This window comes from Homo sapiens, chromosome 8 (genome assembly GCF_000001405.40).
Source record: "Homo sapiens chromosome 8, GRCh38.p14 Primary Assembly".
NCBI lineage: Eukaryota > Metazoa > Chordata > Mammalia > Primates > Hominidae > Homo > Homo sapiens.
Genome location: NC_000008.11, coordinates 123,319,475 through 123,344,294, shown reverse-complemented (window position 1 = coordinate 123,344,294; position 24,820 = coordinate 123,319,475). Strand labels below are relative to the sequence as shown.

The 24,820-nt window shown below is 38.4% G+C and overlaps 1 protein-coding gene and 1 pseudogene across 7 annotated transcripts in view; one reads left to right on the top strand and one right to left on the bottom strand.

Moving 5' to 3' along the window:
* Window positions 1-24,445, top strand: part of ATAD2 (ATPase family AAA domain containing 2) — a 96,501-nt gene extending 72,056 nt beyond the window's left edge. For 5 of the 7 annotated variants that reach the window (XM_047421723.1, XM_047421722.1, NM_014109.4 and 2 more), the window contains 9 exons: window positions 4,849-4,984; window positions 6,474-6,670; window positions 7,763-7,922; window positions 9,973-10,095; window positions 10,274-10,417; window positions 15,716-16,105; window positions 18,269-18,402; window positions 21,229-21,357; window positions 23,120-24,445. In XM_047421723.1, coding sequence (XP_047277679.1) covers window positions 4,849-4,984; window positions 6,474-6,670; window positions 7,763-7,922; window positions 9,973-10,095; window positions 10,274-10,417; window positions 15,716-16,105; window positions 18,269-18,402; window positions 21,229-21,357; window positions 23,120-23,161 — 1,455 coding nt within the window. In that variant the 3' untranslated portion in view covers window positions 23,162-24,445. Of the gene's footprint in view, window positions 1-4,848; window positions 4,985-6,473; window positions 6,671-7,762; window positions 7,923-9,972; window positions 10,096-10,273; window positions 10,418-15,715; window positions 16,106-18,268; window positions 18,403-21,228; window positions 21,358-23,119 lie in introns of those variants that run through there. The other 2 variants (XM_011516994.4, XM_011516995.4) reach the window with 2 other exon arrangements.
* Window positions 1,776-1,881, bottom strand: RNU6-875P (RNA, U6 small nuclear 875, pseudogene; annotated as a pseudogene).
* Window positions 24,446-24,820: the final 375 nt, after the last annotated feature.

The following is a 24,820-nucleotide window of genomic DNA, read 5'->3' as shown; positions in this document are numbered from 1 at the left end:
ATTCATTTATCAATAAATGTATTCATGTATTTGTTAGTGCTAAAGTCTCTTTAAGAGCTGCATGGTTTTTCCACTGTTGATGTACTATAATTTATTTATCCAAAGCCCTATTGATAGGTTTTTTGGTTGTTTTCCAGATTTTTTTCTACTGGACTCTTACAGTGAGCATCCTTGTATTTTAGTTAGTATGAGCACTGGTATGTGGATTTTTCTAGTTTTGATTCCTAGAAGTGGAATAGCTGTAGCTGAATCAAAGAGTATTTTACATTTACAAGTTTTAACAATATTAAATTACTCATTCAAGTTTGTGCCAATTTAGACAACTGCCAATAGTGAACAAAAGGCCATACTGCTTCTGCCTGGAATACTCTTCTCTTACATACTTGCCTGTCATCATTTTTTATTTTTCTCAAATCTCTGCTCAGATATCACCTCAGGGAGGCCTTCTTTGATCAGAGTTTCTCAATAATAGCAATAGCTCTTTCACCCATCACACTCTTTTCCCTTTTCCTGCTTTATTTGTATTGCCTCCTGCCATTAAATATTAATTTGCTTGACTCTGTTTCCCCATCAGAATGTAAAGTACATGAAATTAGGGACTATTTTTTGTCACCTTTGTGTCCATAGAGCACATAACAAGCATATTGTAGGCTTCTGTGTATTTTAATGAATGAGTTTAATGGTTTTTTTTCACACTTTTGACAATTGGTTTACACTTTTTAGAACACTAGTAGGAAGATAAGCTCAAATACTTACTAAAGAAATATTTATTGAGTGCTTATTTTCTCCCAGGTGTGGTTCTAGGCACTGGAGATATAACAGTGAATAAGATACACAAAAACGTGTATCCTTACACATGTAGGGCTAACATTTTAGTTGAGTGGGGGAGAGAAGTTTTAAAAATTTTGTAATACTAACTATTATTGTGGAGAAAGATTTAGCTAAGGGGTACCAAAAGAGTATGGGTAGGTTACAGTGTTAAATAGGCTAGGTAAGGCCTCAGTAAGAAGATGATATTTGGCCGGATGCGGTGGTTCACGCCTGTAATTCTAGCACTTTGGGAGGCCGGGGTGGGCGAATCACCTGAGATCAGGAGTTCAAGACCAGCCTGGCCAACATGGTGAAACCTTGTCTCTACAAAAATTAGCCGGACATGGTGATGTGTGCCCGTAATCCCAGTTACTCGGGAGGCTGAGGTGGGAGAATCGCTTGAACCCGGAAGGTGGGGTTTGTAGTGAGCCAAGATCCCACCATTGCACTCCAGCTGGGGCGACAAAGCAAAACTCCATCTCAAAAAAAAAAAAAATGATGATGATGATGATATTTGAGGAAAGACGTGGAAAACGTAAGGTAGTGAACCATTGGAATAGCTGAGGGACAAAAGGTCCTAGCAGAGGAAGAAGCAAATGCAGAGGCTCTGAGGCAGATCTGTGTCTGGCAGGTTGGAAAAATAGCAAGAAGGCCAGGATGATAGAGCAGAGTAAGTGAGGGATAATGGAGGAAAGGAGGCCAAGGTTATCAAGGGACCAGATTATGTCCCCAGTGACTCTGTATAATAATTGATTACAGAACCTCCAAGTTAAATAAGCTAGGAAATGAATATTAAGTATATATTAGAAACTCTTTGAGTGGGGGAGGTCCTTAAAGGTTTCCAGTTTAGTTAATTATCTAGTTTCATACCCTACACTGTCGCCTTTATGTGGATATCTCATATGTTGAAACAGTTTCTACACAGTTCTTTTTGTTACCTTTGACTCCTAAAAATCCAACTTATTGAAGGAGGCTTTCATTTCTCTTTCTTTTTTTTTTTAACTTACAAAGGGGTCATGCTAATCTTCTGTATTGTTCCAATTTTAGTATATGTGCTGCTGAAGTGAGCACAAATCTTCCACTTCTTAATCTCCATTCATTTCCCAGATTGCATATAGAACTTGACTAATACATCTTCATCATGACAAGTCTTTGTATATTTGAATACTCTTTTATGTCTTGCTGATCCAGGCCTTTTCACATTAAACAGGATATGGTATATTCATTAGGGCTATTAATAAAGTAGAAGTTTATTTCTTACTCACTTTAACAATACTAGGCAGGTTGATTACATTGGCAAGTTTGTCTTCTGCTATGCAGTCATTCAAACACTCAGGCTGAAAGATACTTTATTTTACTTTATTTTATTTTATTTACTTGTTTATTTATTTATTTTTGGAGACGGAGTCGCACTGTGTTGCCTAGGCTAGCAGCGTAGGGGTGCGATCTTGGCTCACTGCAGCCTCAGCCTCCTGGGTTTAAGCAATTATCCTGCCTCAGCCTCCCGAGTAGCTGGGATTACAGGCATCCGCCACCATGCCCAGCTAATTTTGTATTTGTAGTAGAGATGGGGTTTCACCATGTTGGCCAGGCTGGTCTTGAACTCCTGACCTCAGGTGAGCCACTGTGCTCGGCCTGTTTTCTTATTTTCATCATGTAGCCTTCCAGGTCGCTTTCAGTACAGTCAACTGAAAGGACAGGCTCTTGCTTGTGCCTGACTTGGAAGTGGTGTAAATCATTTCCTCTCAAATTCCACTGGCTAAAGCTCAGTCACATAGCCTACTTCATTGCAAGAAAGGCTAGGAAATCTGACCTAGCTGTGTGCCCAAAGAACAAGAATACAGATTGTGGTAATAGTAGACTTTGTTACACAGCACACCAGGTTGTAGTTTCTTCAAAATTCTTGTCACTCTCCTGAATGTCTTTCTTTTTTCTAGTTCTTTTGGAAGGCCAGAGCCAGAATGAATGAAGTACTCTAGCAGTGTTCTGATTAACACAGTGGAAAAAAAAGATTGTTAGCCATAGTATTACTGGCTTCTTATTCTATCAACTGAAACTGTTAATCATTTTGAGATTTGAAATAAAGATAATGGCTTTATGCTCCGGGTAACAAGTAAGACAAACTAGGTGAACTTTGTATGGATGTGGAGAGGTCGAAAAAATGTAATCGGTTTAATCTGGGGAAACTTTTTCGAGAATGTGGAAATTCTATACCAAAAGATCTTTTCTTAAAGCATAGCTTCTCTTACTTTTTTTCTTAGGATAATATTTTCTAAGCATATAATTGCAAACTGGGTAAAATATTTTAATACCACATTCTATAAGTAGGGGAGAATGGGCCAGGGACTAGGAATTACCCATTTTTATAAAATGAATAAAATGAGCATGGTGGTGTGCACCTATAGTCCCAGCTACTCGGGAGGCTGAAGTGGGAGAACCGCTTGAATCTGGGAGGTGGGGGCTGCAGTGAGTCGAGATTGCACCACTGCACTCCAGCCTAGGTGACAGAGTGAGACCCTGTCTCAAAAAAAAAAAAAGACAAAACTTACCATTTCATCCATTTTTTTAAGCATATAGTATAGTCGCATTAAGTGCATTTACAATGTTGGGCAACCATCACCACTATCCAGATCTTTCTTGTTATCCCAAGCAGAAACTCTGTACCTATTAACGGTAATTCCCCATTTCTATCTTCCCACAGCCCTCGGTAACTTCTGTTATAATTTGGCTCTGAATTATTTATTCTAGGTACCTCATATAATTTGAATATGTATTTGTCTTTTGTGTCTTATTTAGTGTAATGTTTTCAAGTTCATCCATGTTGTATCTTGTGTCCAAATTTTATTCCTTTTTAGGGTGAATACTTTTCCATTGTATGTATATACCGCATTTTGTATCCATTCATCTGGTGACAGACGTTTGGGTCATCTTCACCTCCTGACGTTTGTGAATAAAGCTGCTATGATTACTGGAGTACAAATACTCATTTGAGTTTTTGTTTTCAGTTCTTTGGGATCTATACCTAGAAGTGGAATTGCCACATCATATACTAATTCTGTGTTTAAACTTTGAGAAACCACCAAATTGTTTTCCACCGCAGCTACACTATTTTACATTCTTACCAGCAGTCCACTGAGTTTCCAATATCTTGTAGCCCACACTTACCTTCTGGCCTTTATATTTTGGTTTTTGTTTGTTTGTTTGCTTTTTATTTTTGAACAGTTGCTCTTTCTTATATCTCATTTGGGGTTGGGAAAATGAATTAATTGATCTCAACAAACCTTTTAAGTATCAGGACCAGGCACGGTGGCATATGCGTGTAATTGTAGCACTTTGGGAGGCCAGGGCAGGAGGATCACTTAAGCCCAGGAATTTGAGATCAGCCTGGGCAACACAAGGAGACCCTATCTCTACAAAAAGTTTAAAAATTAGCTGAGTGTGGTGGTGCGTGCCTGTAGTCCCAGCTACTCAGGAGGCTGAGATAAGAGGATTGCTTGAGCCCAGTCTGAGGTTGCAGTGAGCTATGATTGTGCCACTGCAATCCAGCCTGAGTGACAGAGCGAGACCTTGTCTCTTAAAAAAAAAAAGAAAACAAAAAAAGTAAAATATCATCAAGTCAGTTCCTTTATTAATTGTAGTTTGGGTTCTTGAGTTCTCATGATTTTTAGTTCCTTAATCTCTTGTAAACATGGTTTATACATAAATCTAACATTCTTTAAAGACTTGTTTAAAAAATATACAATTTAGCTTGTCATTAAAAATATGTGTATAATAACCTGCTATTGTCTTGAATGACTGACACATGCATTTCATATGCATGTGTGTATATATACTGCATACATATGTTTATATACTGTATAGATGCTCCTTGACATATGATGGGTTTATTTGGACATAACCCGATTGTTAAGTGGAGGGACATACTGAATACATGTCACTTTCATGCTGCTGTAAAGTCTAAAAATTGTAAATTGAACCATTGTAAGTTGGGGATCATCTGTATATATGATATATATTGCATTTATTTTCTTTTTTAAGGTGCAAGAATTGTTTATCCGTGATTATGGAGAGATTTTTAATGTCCAGTTACCGGATAAAGAAGAACGGACAAAATTTTTTGAAGATTTAATTCTAAAACAAGCTGCTAAGCCTCCTATATCAAAAAAGAAAGCAGGTTAGTTTCTATATCAAAGTTAATATTTAATAATTTTGAGAAAGTAGGAATGAAATAGTTAATGGCATTGACATGTATCTGATAACACAAGCTCAAAACCTAAGTCATGAGGTTGATGCATCTGCTGCTTAAAAATCTCTATGCTTCCCATTAAAACAGACTAAAGTTCTTAAGGTACACAAAGTCTTTCATAGTATAGCCCCAATCTATCTTTCTAAGCTCATTTTGGGCACTTGTGTTCTGCCTCAGCCCTCCACCCCCACATTTTTTTTCTCATAAAACACTATCTTTAAACCATATGTAACATAATTTTACCTTTTCACTATTTTAGTAATGCTTGCTCTCTCATCAGTAAAGCTTCTATCTCTATCCCCCATCTCTGTCTAAAGAACTACTTATTCTTTTATTTTTATTTTTTGAGACAGGGTCTGTGTCATCCACTGGAGTGAAGTGGCATGATCGAGGCTCAACTGCAGCCTCAACCTCCTGGGCTCAAGCATCCTCCCACCTCAGCCTCCGAAGTAGCTAGGACAAGAGGCTCATGCCAAAATGCCCGGCTAAATACTTGTCCTTTTAGTATACCTCATTTATTCTTTATTATGAAGCCTTTCCTAACTTATATGGGCAAAATGAATTGCTTCTGCCTTTATGACCCATCATACTTTTAAAATACTACTAATATGGCATCACAATGATATAATTATGCCTCTTACTCCCTTAGTAGTTTGTCAGCTCATTGTGGCAGGACTCTAATAATCCTTTTTTTCATCCTGAGTACTCATTGGATATCTATTTAAACAAAATAACCTGTTGGTATATTTGAAACATATTACACATTTTCATTAGTTCAAAACTAGTAAAGAAGGCTTTTTTATAGTTAGAATATTTTTGTCCTGGAAATAATGCAATTTCAAAGTTTAATAGCCTCTTAAATTGTCTTTTTTTTTTTTTTCCTTGAGACGGAGTCTCTCTCTGTCACCCAGGCTGGAGTGCAGTGGCACGATCTTGGCTCACTGCAAGCTCTGCCTCCCAGATTCACGCCATTCTCCTGCCTCAGCCTCCTGAGTAGGTAGGACTACAGGCGCACGCCACCACGCCAGCTAATTTTTTGTATTTTTAGTAGAGACCGGGTTTCACTGTATTAGCCAGGGTGGTCTCGATCTCCTGACCTGGTGATCCACCCACCTCGGCCTCCCAAAGTGCTGGGATTACAGGTGTGAGCCACCACACCCGGCTGCCTCTTAAATTATCTTAAAGGAACAGAGGTAATGACTTGTAGGAATTAGCATTCCAAATTACAAGTTACTAATGATTTCTGGAGGGGACGTAGGGTTAGAGATTATGGTAATACTTTTGTATTTCAAATCTTTGGATTCCTTGCATATATGAGGAAGATAATCCCTCAAATCCTGACTCTGTTTTCATTAAATCATTTGTCAACCTCAATGTTATGGAGGAGCAGTAACTAAATTCTTCCATTCATGTGAAGTTTTGCAGGCTTTGGAGGTACTCCCAGTAGCACCACCACCTGAGCCAAGATCACTGACAGCAGAAGAAGTGAAACGACTAGAAGAACAAGAAGAAGATACATTTAGAGAACTGAGGATTTTCTTAAGAAATGTTACACATAGGCTTGCTATTGACAAGCGATTCCGAGTGTTTACTAAGCCTGTTGACCCTGATGAGGTATTAGTTTAATCTTTGGATCAAGTGTATTCTAGGCCATAATGCTTCACAATCAAAGGATATTTGAAGAGTTTATGTGGTTCTGCCTACACTCTTAACTAGTTTTATCTATTTGGAAACATGTACCGGGTTAGTGTCCTAAGCACATGTAGACTTTAAGAGCAGGGTAACGCATTTTCCTTTCCTGCAGACAATTAACTTTGTCTCCCCAACCTAAACATTCCAGAAGTAATTGAGAATGTCTTATTATTTTTTTTTTTTGAAACGGAGTTTTGCTCCTGTTGCCCGGGCTGGAATGCAATGGCGCGATCTCGGCTCATTGCAACCTCCACCTCCCAGGTTCAAGTGATTCTCCTGCCTCAGCCTCCCAAGTAGCTGGGACTACAGGCGTGTGCCACCACGTCCAGCTAATTTTTGTATTTTTAGTAGAGACAGGGTTTCTCCATGTTGGCCAGGCTGGTCTCAAACTCCTGACCTCAGGTAATCCACCCACCTCAGCCTCCCAAAGTGCTGGGATTACAGGCATGAGCCACCATGCTCGGCCCCCCCTTTTTTTTTTTTTTTTTTTTTTGTAGTAAGGGTTGAGGCCTCACTCTGTTGCCCAGGCTGGAGTGCAGTGACACAAATTATCTTTCACTGCAACCTTGTGGAGATAGGGTCTTGCTGTGTTGCCCAGCCTAGTCTCAAACTCTTGGCCTCAAGCAATCTTCCTGTCTCAGCCTCCCAAAGTGCTGGGGATTACAGGCATGATATTATTATGACCTACACAATTGGAAGAGACCTGGAGAGCCACGTCTTAAGTTGCTCTGAAGGATGGGTGGCAATTGGATGAGGAAAGAATATAGGCTGTTACTGGAGAATACAGCTGCCCAAGAATAAGAAACAATTACTGGAGGATACAGCTGCCCAAGGAATAGAAACAAATACAAAACAAAAACAGCCTTAAATCAAGTGAAAGGTTTTATGTTAAATATATTATCATAATCTCTTACGTATTTATTCTCTATCTCCTATATTGCCTGGCATCGAAACTTGACTCACATGTTATGTTTAGAGTTAATTTTGTGATTTGATCATTTGCTTGAATTTTAGGTTCCTGATTATGTCACTGTAATAAAGCAACCAATGGACCTTTCATCTGTAATCAGTAAAATTGATCTACACAAGTATCTGACTGTGAAAGACTATTTGAGAGATATTGATCTAATCTGTAGTAATGCCTTAGAATACAATCCAGATAGAGATCCTGGAGGTGAGCATTAGTGAATTTTTTTTCAGGGGGTTGAGTTGGGGGGCAGCTAACACTTAGGGTTGATTTTTGTGTCAGGTGCTATATTATAAACATAATCAAAATACTATTTAATCCTCACAACAACCATTTTACAAATGGTAAAAATGAAGTTTAGAAAGGTTAAAAACATTGCTGAAGGTCACACTTCCAGGAAGGGACAGAGTGAGAATTTGAATGCAGGTTTCTTTCATTCCCAAATCCCTGTTTATTAACAATTACATGATAGATCCTCTAATGAGACACAAAATGGCTTGTATACTTTGTATATCAGTGCTCTTCCTCAAAGTGGAAAAGTAGGCACTCTGTAATGAAATAGTTTTTAAAATATTCTATTAGTTAAGACCATTATAATTTTTATTACAAAAGCAATATAATATAGGGCTTACTAGTAGTAATATTTTTAAAAATCTAGTCCCCCATTTCCTTTCTCCAAAGGCAGACACTGTTAAGTTTGAGGATATCTTTTCAGACCTTTTTCTGTGCATATACCCCTTCTGCTTTCACCTATCGCATCTATTAATATAAAATTTAGTGGGTACAATGTATGTTATTTGGGTGGTGGATACCCCCAAAGCCCTGACTTCATGTGCAGTCTGTGCCTGTAACAAAAATTACACTTGCACCCCATACATTTTTACAAATTTTTAAAAATAAAATGTATAAAGGATTTTTAATGATATGTTTGTTCTGCAGCTTGTCCATTTCCAAGAAATGTTCTTTCTTGGGTGCTTATTTAATTTTTTGATGGCTTCCTGTTATTACAGATGCAGAGTTCTTTAACTCTTACCAGTGGATAAAAAGATACATTTTAAAAATAGTTGTTTTCTGTATTCATTTCTCCTCCAGTACATTGGCTTTCTGTTTTTAAATTGGTGGTGCTTGTTAGTTAGATTGATTAGTATAGGAAACTACTAAAATTTTTTTCAACAATTGAAAAGCTTACTATTCTTTCCCTCCCAGTCCTCTAGCTCACCTTCCCTAGGCATTTCCCTGTAGTTCAGAGTTCTGGAGTCAAGCAGTAGGAAACAGACTAACAAGATGAGAACAGTCCATTGTACATAGGAAGAAGAAACGAGGTACCCTGGAGGCAGAGGGCTTTCTCTGTTGCATTGCAATCATGCTGTTGCTGCTGCTCCCTTTCTGTCTATTGTGGCAATCTAAAATTACTTCAGGCTAGTGGTGTCAAATGTTAGTGGACATCAGAATCTCCTAAAGGACTTCATAAAATATGGATCACTGGACCCCATCTCTAGGGTTTCTGATTCTGTAGGTGTGGCCCCTGAGAATTTGCATTTCTAATGAGTTTCCCGGTGACACAGGCTGCTGAGTTCTGGAACCACTACTTCGACCTTGCCCTGACTTTCTTCAGGCCCAAATGCCATGTTAGAAAGCCCACTTCAGCATTCTGCGTGTAATGTACTGTATAACCTGGGAGTGAATTTTGCAATCTCTTGTCCTTTGAGGAGTATTGATGTGGCTCAAGCAATCCTGCATTCACTTATTCCGTCTTCTGCCTCAAATCATATTCCAGTTTGTAGTATTCATACTCTGAGCTTAGGATTTTCCCAGTGTTTCCTGTGGAGGGTTGCTTTTTCATTGTCTTTGTCTATTTTCTTTGTCAATGCAATAACAACCTCTATAAATCTCTTGCAAAATTCTTTCACATTCTTTGTTCACTAATGACACTGATAGCCTTCTCTTTTATTTTTCGTTATCATGTTTAATCTCTTGCTATTGATTGATTCCTTTTTTTTTTCTGATATTTCAAAGGGATCTGAACAGGACAGAGCAGTAAAATTGTTTGGGTTTAGTTTGCCATATTGAATCAGATGTCCAGAACATTAGATTAGCTCCAGAAACAGAATAGGACAATTCCAGTAACTTTGACTATTCTTGGTAAAAGTCAAAAGGAATTGTAAGAGCTACTATCTTAGCCTAATATGCTGAGTTTATTTTTGGTATATTATTAAAAGGGGGAAATTAAAAATTACATTTTTTACTCACTTCATAGATCGTCTTATTAGGCATAGAGCCTGTGCTTTAAGAGATACTGCCTATGCCATAATTAAAGAAGAACTTGATGAAGACTTTGAGCAGCTCTGTGAAGAAATTCAGGAATCTAGAAAGAAAAGAGGTAGGAAAGTGATTTGGTTGATTTGTACCAACCTAATATTATCAATGAATTTCAGAATATATGAATTTCAGAAGCATCTGAAAAGGATGCTTCAGATGTATTTTGTACTTTTAGTTAATCCTTCATGTAATTTTGAAATCTGGAAATCCTTTTGACATCCCACATATCTATTTATAAGGTTGTAGCTCCTCCAAATATGCCCCGTCTTACTACCATGTGATGCCAAAGCAAAATTCCACTCTTGTTGGTGATAAAAGATCAGACCCAGAGCAGAATGAAAAGCTAAAGACACCGAGTACTCCTGTGGCTTGCAGCACTCCTGGTAAGTACTCAAGTAGTTTTCATTTATGAAATTATAACTTTATTCTTTTCTAATGCCATTAACTTTCTCCCTTATTTTCCTTTATTTGTGTTAATGCAGTGAATTACATTGATTTTGTTACTATTAAGACAACTTTGCATTCTTGAAATAAATCCAAGTTTATAATGTACCACTTGCAACCCAGAAGTCACCATCTAATTGTGGACTGTCTTGATTTGAAACTGATGTCTGTAAATTCTGGTCTATTTCTTACTCCCCCTTATTCTTAGAAGGTAACTCCACGTTACCTATTCAAAGCCTGTAGGGTTTTCTAAGGCCTGCCTTCCTTGGCAGACTTCTAATTCCAATTTTTGTTCTTTAAGCCCCTTTGTCAGACTGCTTAGCTTCTCAGCCTCTGTTATTCACTTGTTTTCCCAGATTTTAGCACTGTAATTCCTCACTACCCTTTTTTTTTTTTTTTTTTTTTTTGAGACGGAGTCTCGCTCTGTCACCCAGGCTGGAGTGCAGTGGTGCGATCTCGGCTCACTGCAACCGCTGCGTCCCGGGTTCATGCCATTCTCCTGCCTCAGCCTCCCAAGTAGCTGGGACTATAGGCACCCGCCACTATGCCTGGCTAATTTTTTTTTTTTTTTTTTTTTTTTTTTTTGTATTTTTAGAGAGACGGGGTTTCACCGTGTTAGCCAGGATGGTCTCGATCTCCTGACCTCATGATCCACCCACCTCGGCCTCCCAAAGTGTTGGGATTACAGGCGTGAGCCACTGCGCCTGGCCATTCCTCACTACCTTTTTAGATCTCTGTGTGTGTGTTAAGGTTAGGGTTAGCGGTGTTTGCTGGGGTTGAACCTTCTATTGTATTGCAAGTTTGTCCATCCTCGGGTAATTGATTTGAGATAGATAAAGAATAAGCCCTTCTTTTGAAAAAATGGGAGGAGGCAGCTGGGAAAGGAAAGATAAGAGAAGAAAATTAGCAAGAGGCCTTCACTACCAGAATGCTGACAGTCAAATCAGCTTTAAGCAAGAATATATATATATGGAAATTGGCTCCCTTAAAACAATCGTTTGATAGATACCCAACAGGATTACATATTTTGTGTCCACCAAAAGACATGTACAAGAATATTCAAAGAAGCAATATTCATAATATTAGGTTGGTACAAAAGTGGTTGTGGTTTTGCCATTAAAAGTCATGGTTCAACACTGGGGGTAACTCAAATGCCCATTACCAGTAGAATGGAAAGATATGAATTATTATACAGTGAGAATCCTTAAACGTCAACTACATACAGCAGCACAGATGAACCTCCCAAACAATGTTGAGTGAATCCTAGATACATTTACATGTGAAATAAATTTTAAAATATGTATTTAAAATTTTTATATATGTATGAAGTCAAAAATGGGCAAAACTAATCCATGGTGTCATAAATCAGGATATTATTTACTTTTTAGGATATTATGACTAGAATTAGAATAAGGGTGATTTGGAATGTTAGTATATATTCTGTTTCTCAATCTGGGTGCTGATTATGTGAGTTTCTTCTGTTGGTGGATATTCATTTCATTTTTATGTTCTGAGTACAATTGACCCTTGAATAATACGAGTTTGAGGTACACAGGTCCACATATGTGTGGATTTTTTTCAATAAATATCTTGGAAATTTTTTTGGAGCTTTGCAACAGTTTGAAAAAACTTGCAGATTGAATCACGTAGCCTAGAAATAGTGAAAAAGTTAGGTATGTCACAGATGCATACAATATGTATAGACAGTAGTCTATTTTATCACCACCATAAAATATACACAAGTCTATTTTAAAAAGTTAAGATTTATCAAAACTTACCACACAAACACAGATCGTACATAGCACCATTTGCAGTCAAGAGAAATTTAAACAAATGTAAAGACTCAGTATTAAATCACAACTGCATAAAATTTACTATAGTACATAACTTTACTACCGTAATTTTGGAGCCACCTCCTGTGGCTGTTGTGGTGAGCTCAAGTTTCATGAGTATCTGCTTAAAACGATGTGTGATGCGGTGAGCAGTTGGCCTGTCCAGTAAATTGCTTATTGCAGTAAAAAGTGATTTGCGGTTCTCAAGTATTTTTTGTGTGTGTTTAGTATAGTACAAAAAATCTTGAGTAACACCATAGGACACATAGGAGGTGCCACTAGTAATGCTGGAAGTGCTCCCAAGAAGCAGAGAAAGTCATAACCTTCTAAGATAAAGTTGAATTGTTTGTTATGTAACATAGATTGAGGTCTGCAGCTGTAGTACCCTGCCCTTTCAAGACAAATGAATCCAGTATAAGGACCATTGTAAACAATAATAATAAAGAGCCAGGCATGGTGGCTCACGCCTGTAAACCCAGCACTTTGGGAGGCTGAGGCGGGTGGATCACTTGAGATCAAGAGTTTGAGACAAGCCTGGTCAACACAGTGAAACCCCGTCTCTACTAAAAATAAAAAAAATTAGCCAGGCATGGTAGACAGTGCCTGTAATCCCAGCCACTGGGGAGGCTGAGGCATGAGAATCACTTGAACCCAGGAGGTGGGGTTTGCAGTGAGCCAGATTGCATCACTGCACTCCAGCCTGGCCAACAAAGTGAGACCCTTGTCTCAAAAGAGAGAAAAGAATACCAGGCGCAGTGGCTCACGCCTGTAATCCCAACACTTTGGGAGGTCAAGGTGGGTGGATTGCCTGAGGTCAGGAGCTCAAGACCAGCGTGGCCAACATGGTGAAACCCCGTCTCTACTAAAAATACAACAACTAGCTGGGCATGGTGGTGCACGCCTGTAATCCCAGCTCCTCCTGTAATCCCAGCCCTCAAGGGACTGAGGCAAGAGAATTGCTTGAACCCAGTGGGGCAGAGGTTGCAGTGAGCCAAGATCGTGCCACTGCCTTCCAGCCTGGGCAGTAGAGTGAGACTGTCTCAAAAAATAAAGAAAGAAAAGAAGGAAATTTTGAAGCTGTTGTTGCAGCTGCACTAGCAAATGCAAAAACTTTGTACTTTTTGTGAAATACCTTTTGTCTGATATTGAAAATGCAGCTTTTATCCGGATGCAAGATTGCTATAAGAAAGGCATACCTGTAGACTCTAATACAATTCAAGAAAAAATGAAGTCATTATATGACAAAGCAGAAGGAATTTAATGCCAGCAAAAGATGGTTTGATAATTTTAGAAAGAGGTTTGGCTTAAAAAATATGAAGATAGGGCCAGGCGCGGTGGCTCACGCCTGTAATCCCAGCATTTTGGGAGGCCAGGGTGGGCGGATCACGAGGTCATGTGATCGAGACCATCCTGGCTAACACGGTGAAACCCCATCACTACTAAAAATACAAAAAATTAGCCGGGCACGGTGGCGGCACCTGTAGTCCAGCTACTCGGGAGGCTGAGGCAGGAGAATGGCGTGAGACCAGGAGGCGGAGCTTGCAGTGAGCCGAGCCTGGGTGACAGCACTCCAGCCTGGGTGACAGAGCAAGACTCCATCTCAAAAAAAAATCAAGATAACAAGAGAAGCAGCTTCTGACAACCAAGAGGCAGCAGACAAGTTCCCAAACACCATTAAGAAAATCACTGGACAGAGGCCAGGCACTATGGCTCATGTCTGTAATCCCAGCACTTTGGGAGGCTAAGGTGGTAGGATTGCTTGAGGCCAGGAGTTTAAGACCAGCCTGGGCAGCAGAGCAAGACCCCATCTCTAAAAAACAAACAAAACACTGGCCAGGCATGGTGGCACACATTTGTAGCCCTACCTTCTTGGGAGACTGAGGTAGGAGGATTGCTTGAGCCCAGGAGTTCAAGGCTGCAGTGAGCTATTGATTATGCCACAGCACTCCAGCCTGGGTGACAGAGCAAGACCCTGTCTCAAAAAAAAAAAAAAAAAAAAAAAAGAAGCCACTGGGGAGAAAGGTAATCTTTCATTCTCCTTTGTCATTTCTATTACCTAAAAGTTTTACCACTTCTTTCCAGGACTACTGCTGTGTGGTTATACTGCATCTAGTCTAGACAGAATATTTAACCTCTCTGTACCTTAGTTTCTTCATCTGTAAAATGATGATGATAATGGTAGCAAACTTCATTGGGTTAAAGTGAAAAATTTTTTTTTTTTTTTTTTTTTTTTTTTTTGAGACGGAGTTGCGTCACGCAAGCTAGAGTGCAGTGGCATGATCTCGATTCACTGCAAGCTCCGCCTCCCAGGTTCACACCATTCTCCTGCGAGTAGCTGGGACTGCAGGCACCGGCCACCATGCCCGGCAAATTTTTTTGTATTTTTTGTAGCGATGGGGTTTCACCGTGTTAGCCAGGATGGTCTCGATCACCTGACCTCGTGATCCGCCCGCCTCAGCCTCCCAAAGTGCTGGGACTACAGGCGTGAGCCACCGCGCCCAGCCAGGTTAAATTAAATTTTAATGAGTAAGCATACATAAGGGGCTTAGAAGAATTCCTAGTATATGCTTGATGCAGTGGCATACACCTATAGTTGTAGCCACTCAGGAGGCTGAGTTAGGAGGATCGCTTGAGCCCAGGAGTTTGGGGTTGTAGTGCGCCAAGATTGTGCTTGTGTATAGCCATTGCACTCCAGTCTAGGCAATGTAGTAAGATAGTTTCTAGTACATGATAAATGCTCAATAAGTGTAGCCTATTTCAAGTCTTGCCCTTCTTCCAGTCCATTTCTCATACTGCTGCCAAAGTGATCTTTGCAAAATATGCATTAGACAGATCATGTCAGTACCCTCCTTAAAAGTATTCAAGATTAAAAGTATTCAAGATAGGCCGGGTGCGGTGGCTCACGCTTGTAATCCCAGCACTTTGGGAGGCCGAGGCGGGCGGATCACGAGGTCAGGAGATCGAGACCATCCTGGCTAACAGGTTGAAACCCCGTCTCTACTAAAAATGCAAAAAATTAGCTGGGCGTGGTGGCGGGTGCCTGTAGTCCCAGCTGCTCGGAGAGGCTGAGGCAAGAGAATGGCATGAACCCGGGAGGCAGAGCTTGCAGTGAGCCGAGATCGCACCACTGCACTCCAGCCTGGGCAACAGAGTGAGACTCCGTCTCAAAAAAAAAAAAAAAAAAAATTTCAAGATAAAATCAAAATTTTTTACCATTTTATGGTCTGGGCCTTACCCACTTCTCCACCTTCTCACAGTATGCTCTATTCTTGTTTCTGTATTTTAATCATACAAAATACTGTGGTTTCTCACTATTTATCCTTTCATATATCAGGGTTTTTCACTCTTTGAATTTCAGAAAATGGTTGAATGTTCTTTCATCATTTTTCTTTAAATTTCTTGAAGCTCAGTTGAAGAGGAAAATTCGCAAAAAGTCAAACTGGTACTTAGGCACCATAAAAAAGCGAAGGAAGATTTCACAGGCAAAGGATGATAGCCAGAATGCCATAGATCACAAAATTGAGAGTGATACAGAGGAAACTCAAGACACAAGTGTAGATCATAATGAGACCGGAAACACAGGAGAGTCTTCGGTGGAAGAAAATGAAAAACAGCAAAATGCCTCTGAAAGCAAACTGGAATTGAGAAATAATTCAAATACTTGTAATATAGAGAATGAGCTTGAAGACTCTAGGAAGACTACAGCATGTACAGAATTGAGAGACAAGATTGCTTGTAATGGAGATGCTTCTAGCTCTCAGATAATACATATTTCTGATGAAAATGAAGGAAAAGGTACGTCTTTTTCAATTAAAATAATTTACTGATTTTAAAAGATATTTCAAAGTTTCTAAACACCTAATTGCATCTTAGTTTATTGCTTTTTGCTTGCCTTTCAGAGAGCAGATGTTAGTTAATTAGAAAACAATAGCATTATCTTTACTATTGAGCTAGTAAGGATAGTTACAAGCTGTGGCATCAAACAGACCTAGATTTGAGCCTCCAGTTCACTACTTAGTAGCTTGTGACCTTTGGCAAGATACTTAACTTGTCAGCCTGTTTGCTTATCTGCAAAATTGGGGTAGATAAGATAGTTGCTTGGTAATGAGGCATTTTTAAGATTAAATGTAACAAACTAAAGTATATGATACCCTTTCATTTTTAAGCAAGATAAGAGTCTGCTATGATTCTTGCTGAGTGGTATGAACAACTCTTACCCCGATCATTTTTCTATCCCTTATTGTAGGTTAAGTCCAAGATTATTTATATTTATTCTACTGATCTGCTCCCCAAATTTTCTATTTAGAATTGTTGTCATTTGGATCTTCTGGAGCCCTTGACAGTAGATTTGTTTGGATTTTAGAAAAGCCAAACATTATTTAATCATACAAAGCAAAATAGTGGATAATGGGGCCAAAAATTTATTTTGGTCAAAAATAAGCATTGACTAAGTTAATGGACTTTTTTTTTTTTAGTGGCTGATACACTGAATGCAAGCCTTTTGCAAGGGCTTCTTTGACATGAGCTCTAAGTGTATTTGAGTAATTAGCAATAATAGACTAGGATATACTTTCTAGTGTGAATATTTTAAATGTTAATCTTCTGGCTGTATAATATGTTTTGGTTTGAATCAGATTTGTTTTATTTTTCTTTTATCATTTTCTTTTTAAAAAGAATACTATTTAGCAGTACAGGTACTTGCTTCGATATCAGGAAGTCTGAGTTCTTATCCTGGCTCTCACAACAATTAGATGTATATCCTTAGAAAAGTCTCTCTTCACGGTCAGGCGTGGTGGCTCACACTTGTAATCCTAACACTTTGGGAGGCTGTGGGTGGATCACGAGGTCAGGAGTTCGAGACCAGCCTGGCCTATATGGTGAAACCCTGTCTCTACTAAAAATACAAAAATTAGCTGGGCGTGGTGGCTAACGCCTGTAGTCCCAACTGCTCTGGAGGCTGAGGCAGGAGAATCACCTGAACCCGGGAGGTGGAGGCAGAGGTTGCAGTGAGCTGAGATCATGCCACTGCACTCCAGCCTGGGTGACAGAAAGACTCCATCTCAAAAAAAAAGAAAGAAAAGTCTCTTCACCTCTCCTGGCCTTATTTTTCTCATTTATCATTGAATGTATTGTTCTAAATCATGGATCAGCAGACTTCTTTAAAGAACCAAATACCAGATAGTTAAATACTTTAGCCTACACAGGGGCCCATACAATCTTGGTCTCTGTGACAACTACTCAACCCTGCTGGGAAAACTACATTGACAGTAGATAAAATGGATATGGCTGGGTTGGTTTGTTTGTTTTGAGACAGAGTCTTGCTCTGTCATCCAGGCTGGATTTCAGTGGCATGATCTCTGCTCACTGCAACTTCTGCCTCCTCGGCTCAAACGATCCTCAAACCTCAGCCTCCCAAGCAGCTGGGACTATAGGCATGTACCACCATGCGCAGCTAATTTTTTTTTCTTTTTTTTTTTTAAAGAGATGGGGTTTTCCCATGTTGCCCAGGCTGGTCTTGAACTCCTGGACTCAAGGGATTCACCTGCCTTGGCCTCCCAAAGTGCTGGGATTACAGGCAGGCTGTGTTCTAATAAAACATAATTTACAGTGGTGGGCCAGATTTTGACCATGGGTGGTATTTTACAACCCCTGTTCTAGATTATTGAGGTCCCTTCTAGCTTTTCAGTTCTGTGTGTCTTGTGCTCAAGTAGAAGACATTCTAACCTGTTGAGAATCCCCTTGAAATACTCAATATGAAACATACTTCTCAAACTGTCCTTAATTTTTGAGTGTATGAGTGGCAGTATCTTAATCTTATAACAGAATGAGTTAATAAGCCAGAATTGCTGTTTATGTCCTTAGTAAACATGCCCTGTTTAATCTGCCTAATATTATTATTTATTTTAGACATCATAATATCTATGGACCAAATAATAATCATTTGATTTTTCATTCTAGAAATGTGTGTTCTGCGAATGACTCGAGCTAGACGTTCCCAGGTAGAACAGCAGCAGCTCATCACTGTTGAAAAGGCTTTGGCAATTCTTTCTCAGCCTACACCCTCACTTGTTGTGGATCATGAGCGATTAAAAGTATGTAAATTGAAATCATAATGCTTTTACTCTGCAGATTACTAATCCCCAAACACTGGCTTGTGACTAGTAGCATTCTGGCTACATGGGATTTACATGAAAAAGTAAAACTTTTTTTCCTCCAAGCTTCCCTTTACTGTTCTTCTCCTTCCCCTGTTCCAAATTAAGACTAGGTCAGGCACAGTGGCTCACGCCTGTAATCCCAGCACTTTGGGAGGCTGAGGTGGGCGGATCACCTGAGGTCAGGAGTTCGAGACCAGCCTGGCCAACAGTGTGAAACCCTGTCTTTACTAAAAATAAAAAATTAGGCTGGGCGCAGTGACTCATGCCTGTAATCCTAGCACTTTGGGAGGCTGAGGTGGGCGGATCACGAGGTCAGGAGATTGAGACCATCCTGGCTAACACGGTGAAACCCCATCTCTACTAAAAATACAAAAACAAAATTAGCTGGGCGTGGTGGCTGGTGCCTGTAGTCCCAGCTACTCGGGAGGCTGAGACAGGAGAATGGCGTGAACCCAGGAGGTGGAGCTTGCAGTGAGCCGAGGTTGTGCCACTGCACTCCAGCCTGGGCGATAGAGACTCTGTCTCAAAAAAAAAATAAATAAATAAATAATAGATAAAACAAAAAATTAGTTAGGTGTGGTGGTGGGCACCTGTATTCCCAGCCTACTGGGGAGGCTGAGACAGGAGAATCACTTGAACCCAGAGGTGGAGGTTGCAGTAAGCCGAGATCGTGCCTTCCAGCCTGGATGACAAGAGCAAAACTCTGTCTCCAAAAAAAAAAAAAAAAAAAGAATTATTACTATTATTTTTTAATATAAAATAGATTTTTAATTCTTAAAAAAAAAATAGACAAAGTCTCACTGTGTTGCCCAGTCTGGTCTCGAACTCCTGAGCTCAAGTAATCCTCCCACCTCAGCCTCCCAAAATGCTAGGATTATAGGCATGAGCCACCATGCCTGGCCCAAAATTAAGAATTATATCCAAGGATCTGTGGTAGGAATCAGAGAGAAAATAGCTAAGTGATTCTGACAGCTGTCAGGTTATCTGTTGCTCATTCTGTTCCCCTGCCTGTTCCCCTAAATTCAATTTTCATCCTAACCACTGTAATAAAATGACATCCTAATAGCTAATAATACTTGCCTTTGTTAAATTGAATTCTTCTTGCCATATCTGTAACACTTGACACTATAGATAACTCTTCTTCCTTGACTGTTGTGTCCTTAAATCATCCTTGCCTTCAATTACTTTTGTAAGCTCCTCAGGGTTTTTCTGATCATTTGCTCTATTATTCTGTACTTTTGGAATAGCCATCACCTCTGTAACGGTGAACCTACATCTGGAACCCCACACCCTGACACACCTAAACAACGGTCTTATCTCCTCAACCAACAACTTGGATGTGTTACAGTTGCCTTAACATATTTGAAATAAGATTGATTTCTTGCCCTTTTCCTTCAAAAATAAAAACATTTTGCATCCCAATTCCAATTTACCTGTTTTATTTTGGCCACATTTCAAGTCTGAAAACATTATATGTTTATCAGAGATACATTATTTGTAATACAGATAAGAGTTTTGGCATTTTAGAGGGAAATCTGCCCTGTTTAAGTACAAAGTGAACCTGTTAGTACTAATGAACTTAGGAAAGCCTTTCTCTTGAATGTAGCAGAGCTAATAAGAACTTGATGTCTACACTTCTTAGAGAAGGAAGCAGCAATATTCCTGGAGTAGTTTCTCTCAAAAAACTGTAGTCTTTCTGAAAAACTCTATTAAAAAATATATGTGGAACTGAAAACCCATGTAAATCTCATGACAGTGAAATGTATTCCTAGTGCTGAAACAGGAACTTGTGTGTAAGTTCACCGTGTTATGTTGTTTGGGGTTAAGAGTAGCAATTATTATTTTACTTAATTTTTATAAATTTTACAGCTTTGTTCTGCTCAGTATACATGTATGTCATTCAGAGTCAATTAAATTCATTACTGAGACTATTTCAATTTACTTTTTCTGATCATATAACCCATCAAAATAGACTATGTAATAGTACCATATATCCATTAGGCATGCAATAAATAATGGCCTTTTATGAGAGGATATACTTGCTATAGAATAATTTGTATAAAGGATGTAGTTGGAGGTGACTATTTAATGTATTAAATTGCAGTTTTTAACTTGCTGATCTAAATTATTGGTCCCATACATTGTTTTTATGACCATTACCTATGGCCATTTTAGTTGGTTTTTACTTAACTATAATGGTGTGTTTTTGTTAATTATGAGGTAATGGCAGCATATTCTGGTAGGGCCAGACTTGAAGAATTACAGAAATCCAGTAAGTCCACCATTTTAGTCATGAGAAAAAAAACACTTAGCAGATGGAAAATCCTTTTTATATAAGAACCCTGAAGTGGTGAGGTAGTTCACCATTTATGTAGTATCTTTTTTAGTTTCACATAATAAAATTAGTTAAAATGTACTTATACTATCATAAAATCCCCTGCAAAAAAACTTTGCTTTTCTCCTGTTAATCTAAATTGAGGTTAGTTTTTAATTTGTTTGTAGATGCTTATGGCTAGACTTAGAATTGGCAATCCCCTCAGCTCTAGTTTTTAGAATATGAGTTACTCAAGGTCAAGGCCAGGATTATAGCTAGACTTAAGTACATTTAAATGTCAGAGCCACTGCCAGAGGCTGCCCTGTGTCATCAGATGGCTTGGTCTACCCTCTGTCAGGCTTGTAATAATTGCCCAAACCTTCTAAATTAAGTATCTTGTCTGAGGAAGTTTCTCTCTCACACATATTGACACTCATATTTTCTTTTAGAATCTTTTGAAGACTGTTGTTAAAAAAAGTCAAAACTACAACATATTTCAGTTGGAAAATTTGTATGCAGTAATCAGCCAATGTATTTATCGGCATCGCAAGGACCATGATAAAACATCACTTATTCAGGTAAACTCTTGAGTGGAAACTTTTTACAAATGCTCTTGTGGTCACATTAATATATCACTTATGTAGGATTGTTGAGGCTTTATTTAATCTGTGTAAGAAACTGATTGTAGGAACTTAAAGACCATCTTTCTATTTCCAAAGTTGATGTCCCATTCCATAAAGATCATTTTTAATATGTGGATTATGAATTATTTCTAAATGCAAGTGAGTTTAGTATTTTTCCAATCTATAACTTAATTAGTTTGTTTGTTTATTTATTTATTTATTTAGAGACAGGGTCTCTGTCGCCCAGGCTGGAGTGCAGTGGTGCGATCTCAACTCACTCACTGCAGCCTCCACCTCCAAGGTTCAAGCGATCCTCCTGCCTCAGCCTCCCAAGTAGCTGGGACCACAGGCACCTGCCATCATGCCCAGCTAATTTTTGTGTTTTTTGTAGAGATGAGGTTTCACTATGTTGCCCACGCCGATCTTGAGCTCCTGAGCTCAAGCCATCCAGCCACTTCAGCCTCCCAAAGTACTGGAATTACAAACGTGAGCCACTGCACCCAGCCAATAGTTTGTGTCTTTAATAAATAGTGGAACATAAACTATGAATACCCCTTTTGTGTGTATGTATTAATGAAGAATAATAGCTTCTTTTAAGACTTGTCAGCCAGGCACAGTGGCTCATGCCTGTAATCCCAGCACTTGGGGAAGCCAAGGCGGGTGGATTGCTTGAGCCCAGGAGTTCAAGACTAGCCTGGCCAACATGGTGAAACCCCATGTCTACTAAAACAACAAAAACTAGCCAGATGTGGTGGTGTGCACCCATAGTCCTAGCTACTCGGGTGGCTGAGGCATGAGAATCACTTGAACCTGGGAGGCAGAGGTTGCAGTGAGCCAAGATCAAGCTACTGCACTCCAGCCTGGCTGACAGAGTAAGACTCTGTATGACAAAAAAAAAAAAAAAAGACTTATGTACTTAATCTTCCTTTATAGTAGGTATTATAGTGTTAATTAGAGCATTAATACTTATTTTTGAGACAGGATCTTTCTCTGTGTGCAGTGGCAAGAACATAGCTCACTATAACCTGGAACTCCTGAGCTCAGGCAATCCTGCCTCAGCTTCTCAAGTAACTGAGATTATAGGCAAGCACCACCACACTGGGCTAATTTTTAAATTTTTTGTAGAGATGGAGGTTTTGCTATGTTGCCTAGGATGGTCCCAAATTCGTAGCTTCAAGCGGTCCTCCCGCCTCAGCCTCCCAAAGTGCTGGCATTAACAGGCAGGAGCCACCATGCCTGGCCTTATTATTATTTTTAATAACAGATCATTTCACTAGAGAGTGCTAAATTTTAAAAAAAGATATTACTTACATATGCATATTATTGGTAACTACAAAATATAAAAATGATAACCATTAGTATATATATAGTATTTAGTATACCTACTAAAGTATACTATGTAGTATATATATAATATTGATACCTACAAAGTGTAAAATACTAAACTCTAACTACATCAGTACCTTGATTAATACTATTTGAATTTAACATAAGATGAATGCACCCCAGACTCATTTCAAAGTTATTTAAATAATGAAGTCCTACAGGTAAAATCTATGTGGCAGTCTTAAATACTGAACTGAATGTTTATTTTCACTATCAAATATATACCTGAATATTAATATTCTTAAGGTTGTTTACTGAAAAAGTAATGAAATGTTTCTTTAGCTTATTCCATATTGAAACTTACTATTTGCTCTTCCTCCCCTTTATCTAGAAAATGGAGCAAGAGGTAGAAAACTTCAGTTGTTCCAGATGATGATGTCATGGTATCGAGTATTCTTTATATTCAGTTCCTATTTAAGTCATTTTTGTCATGTCCGCCTAATTGATGTAGTATGAAACCCTGCATCTTTAAGGAAAAGATTAAAATAGTAAAATAAAAGTATTTAAACTTTCCTGATATTTATGTACATATTAAGATAAATGTCATGTGTAAGATAACTGATAAATATTGGAACTTTGCTAGAACAAGACCCTGTAGTAATAGTAATAATAGTTGAAGTTTGGCCAACTCTTAATAAAGTTATTTTGGTAACTAATGTTTTATGGCACTTAAGAATAATTAGCAGCGTTAAATTTTGTTTGTATTAAGCACTTTTAATTTTATCCTTCCTAAAAATAGTTTATTGTATCTGACAAGAAACTTACTTAACCATTGTGTCCTTCCCATCTTTTTTGTCATCTTTGTTTTCTTCAAATGCCCTCCTCCCATCTGCCTTGAGATTCCCTCGTCTTCACTTAAAAGCCAGAGTGCAAGTCATGATTTGCGGGAGGGCTCTTGAACCACTTCTGGCTGCACCACAATTCTGTACTTGAGTATCACAGTCATTGTTTTTGAGACAAACATTTTTATAATTCTAATTTGGGTTAATAAAGATTTTAAATATTTCTTGGTTTACTTTTGTAATTATATACACAACAAATGTATTAATAACTACCTTGTTAAACACCTTTTAATAGCACAAGGTTTTTATATTTGCAAGCTGTTGATATCTTTCTAAAACTGTTTAGGTTATAGTCTATTGATACTTTTTATATACAATTTTATAAATATAAATATTATAATTTTATATTAATGGTACCAAAAATACATTTCTTAAGGTTAAAAGCATGCACTTCCATGCATACTTGCTTTTGGGGAGAGTGGGGAGAAGACATTCTAATAATCAGTTTGTGAAATAGCTTCTGTTGGAAACCTTTTGAGGGGAATAAGGAATGGTCATCTAAAATGAGAGATTCTGGATTTTAATGCAGTTCAAAGTTGAGCTGTATTTTTGTTGTTGATTTATCTGGATTTTTTTTAAAGCCTTCTAAAACCCAGTGAATTCAATACCTTAATTAGTACATACTATCTTATGTAATGCATAAAGCAATGCCAGTCACTGAGAACATTTAAATATATTTATATTCCTGGAGATACACATTCTCATTTTTGTTGGTTTATTATAAATTATTCTTCTAGATGCATCTTTTATAACTAGGATTTCATTTTGTGTGTATAGCTTATGTAATAAATTTTAAAGGTGAAAACTCTCTTAAATTTGTTTCTATTTCTTAAGTATTTTAAAACATAGCAAAGATAATTCTGTGCAAAAGAAGTGTAAAGTCTGTTCTTTCATATATTACTGTGAAAATTTAAAGTGCTGTTGACACTGGAATGTTTTTATATGGTACATGTATTTTAGGTACAACGACTAAAGTGCTTCCTGAAATGTCTTCTACAGATTTTAGAAGTGTTATGTCTACATTCCTATGTAGAGTTTGAAAACCATGCTGAAATTGCAGTGTTGAATGTTATCTCCCATTTGTTGCTCAAAAGTGCAGTTAACGCAAGAAAAACAAAAGGAACTCAGAAAGGAAAAAGTGAAATTCTCTTTATTTACAAATGCCATGATTTTATATGTAGGAAATCCTT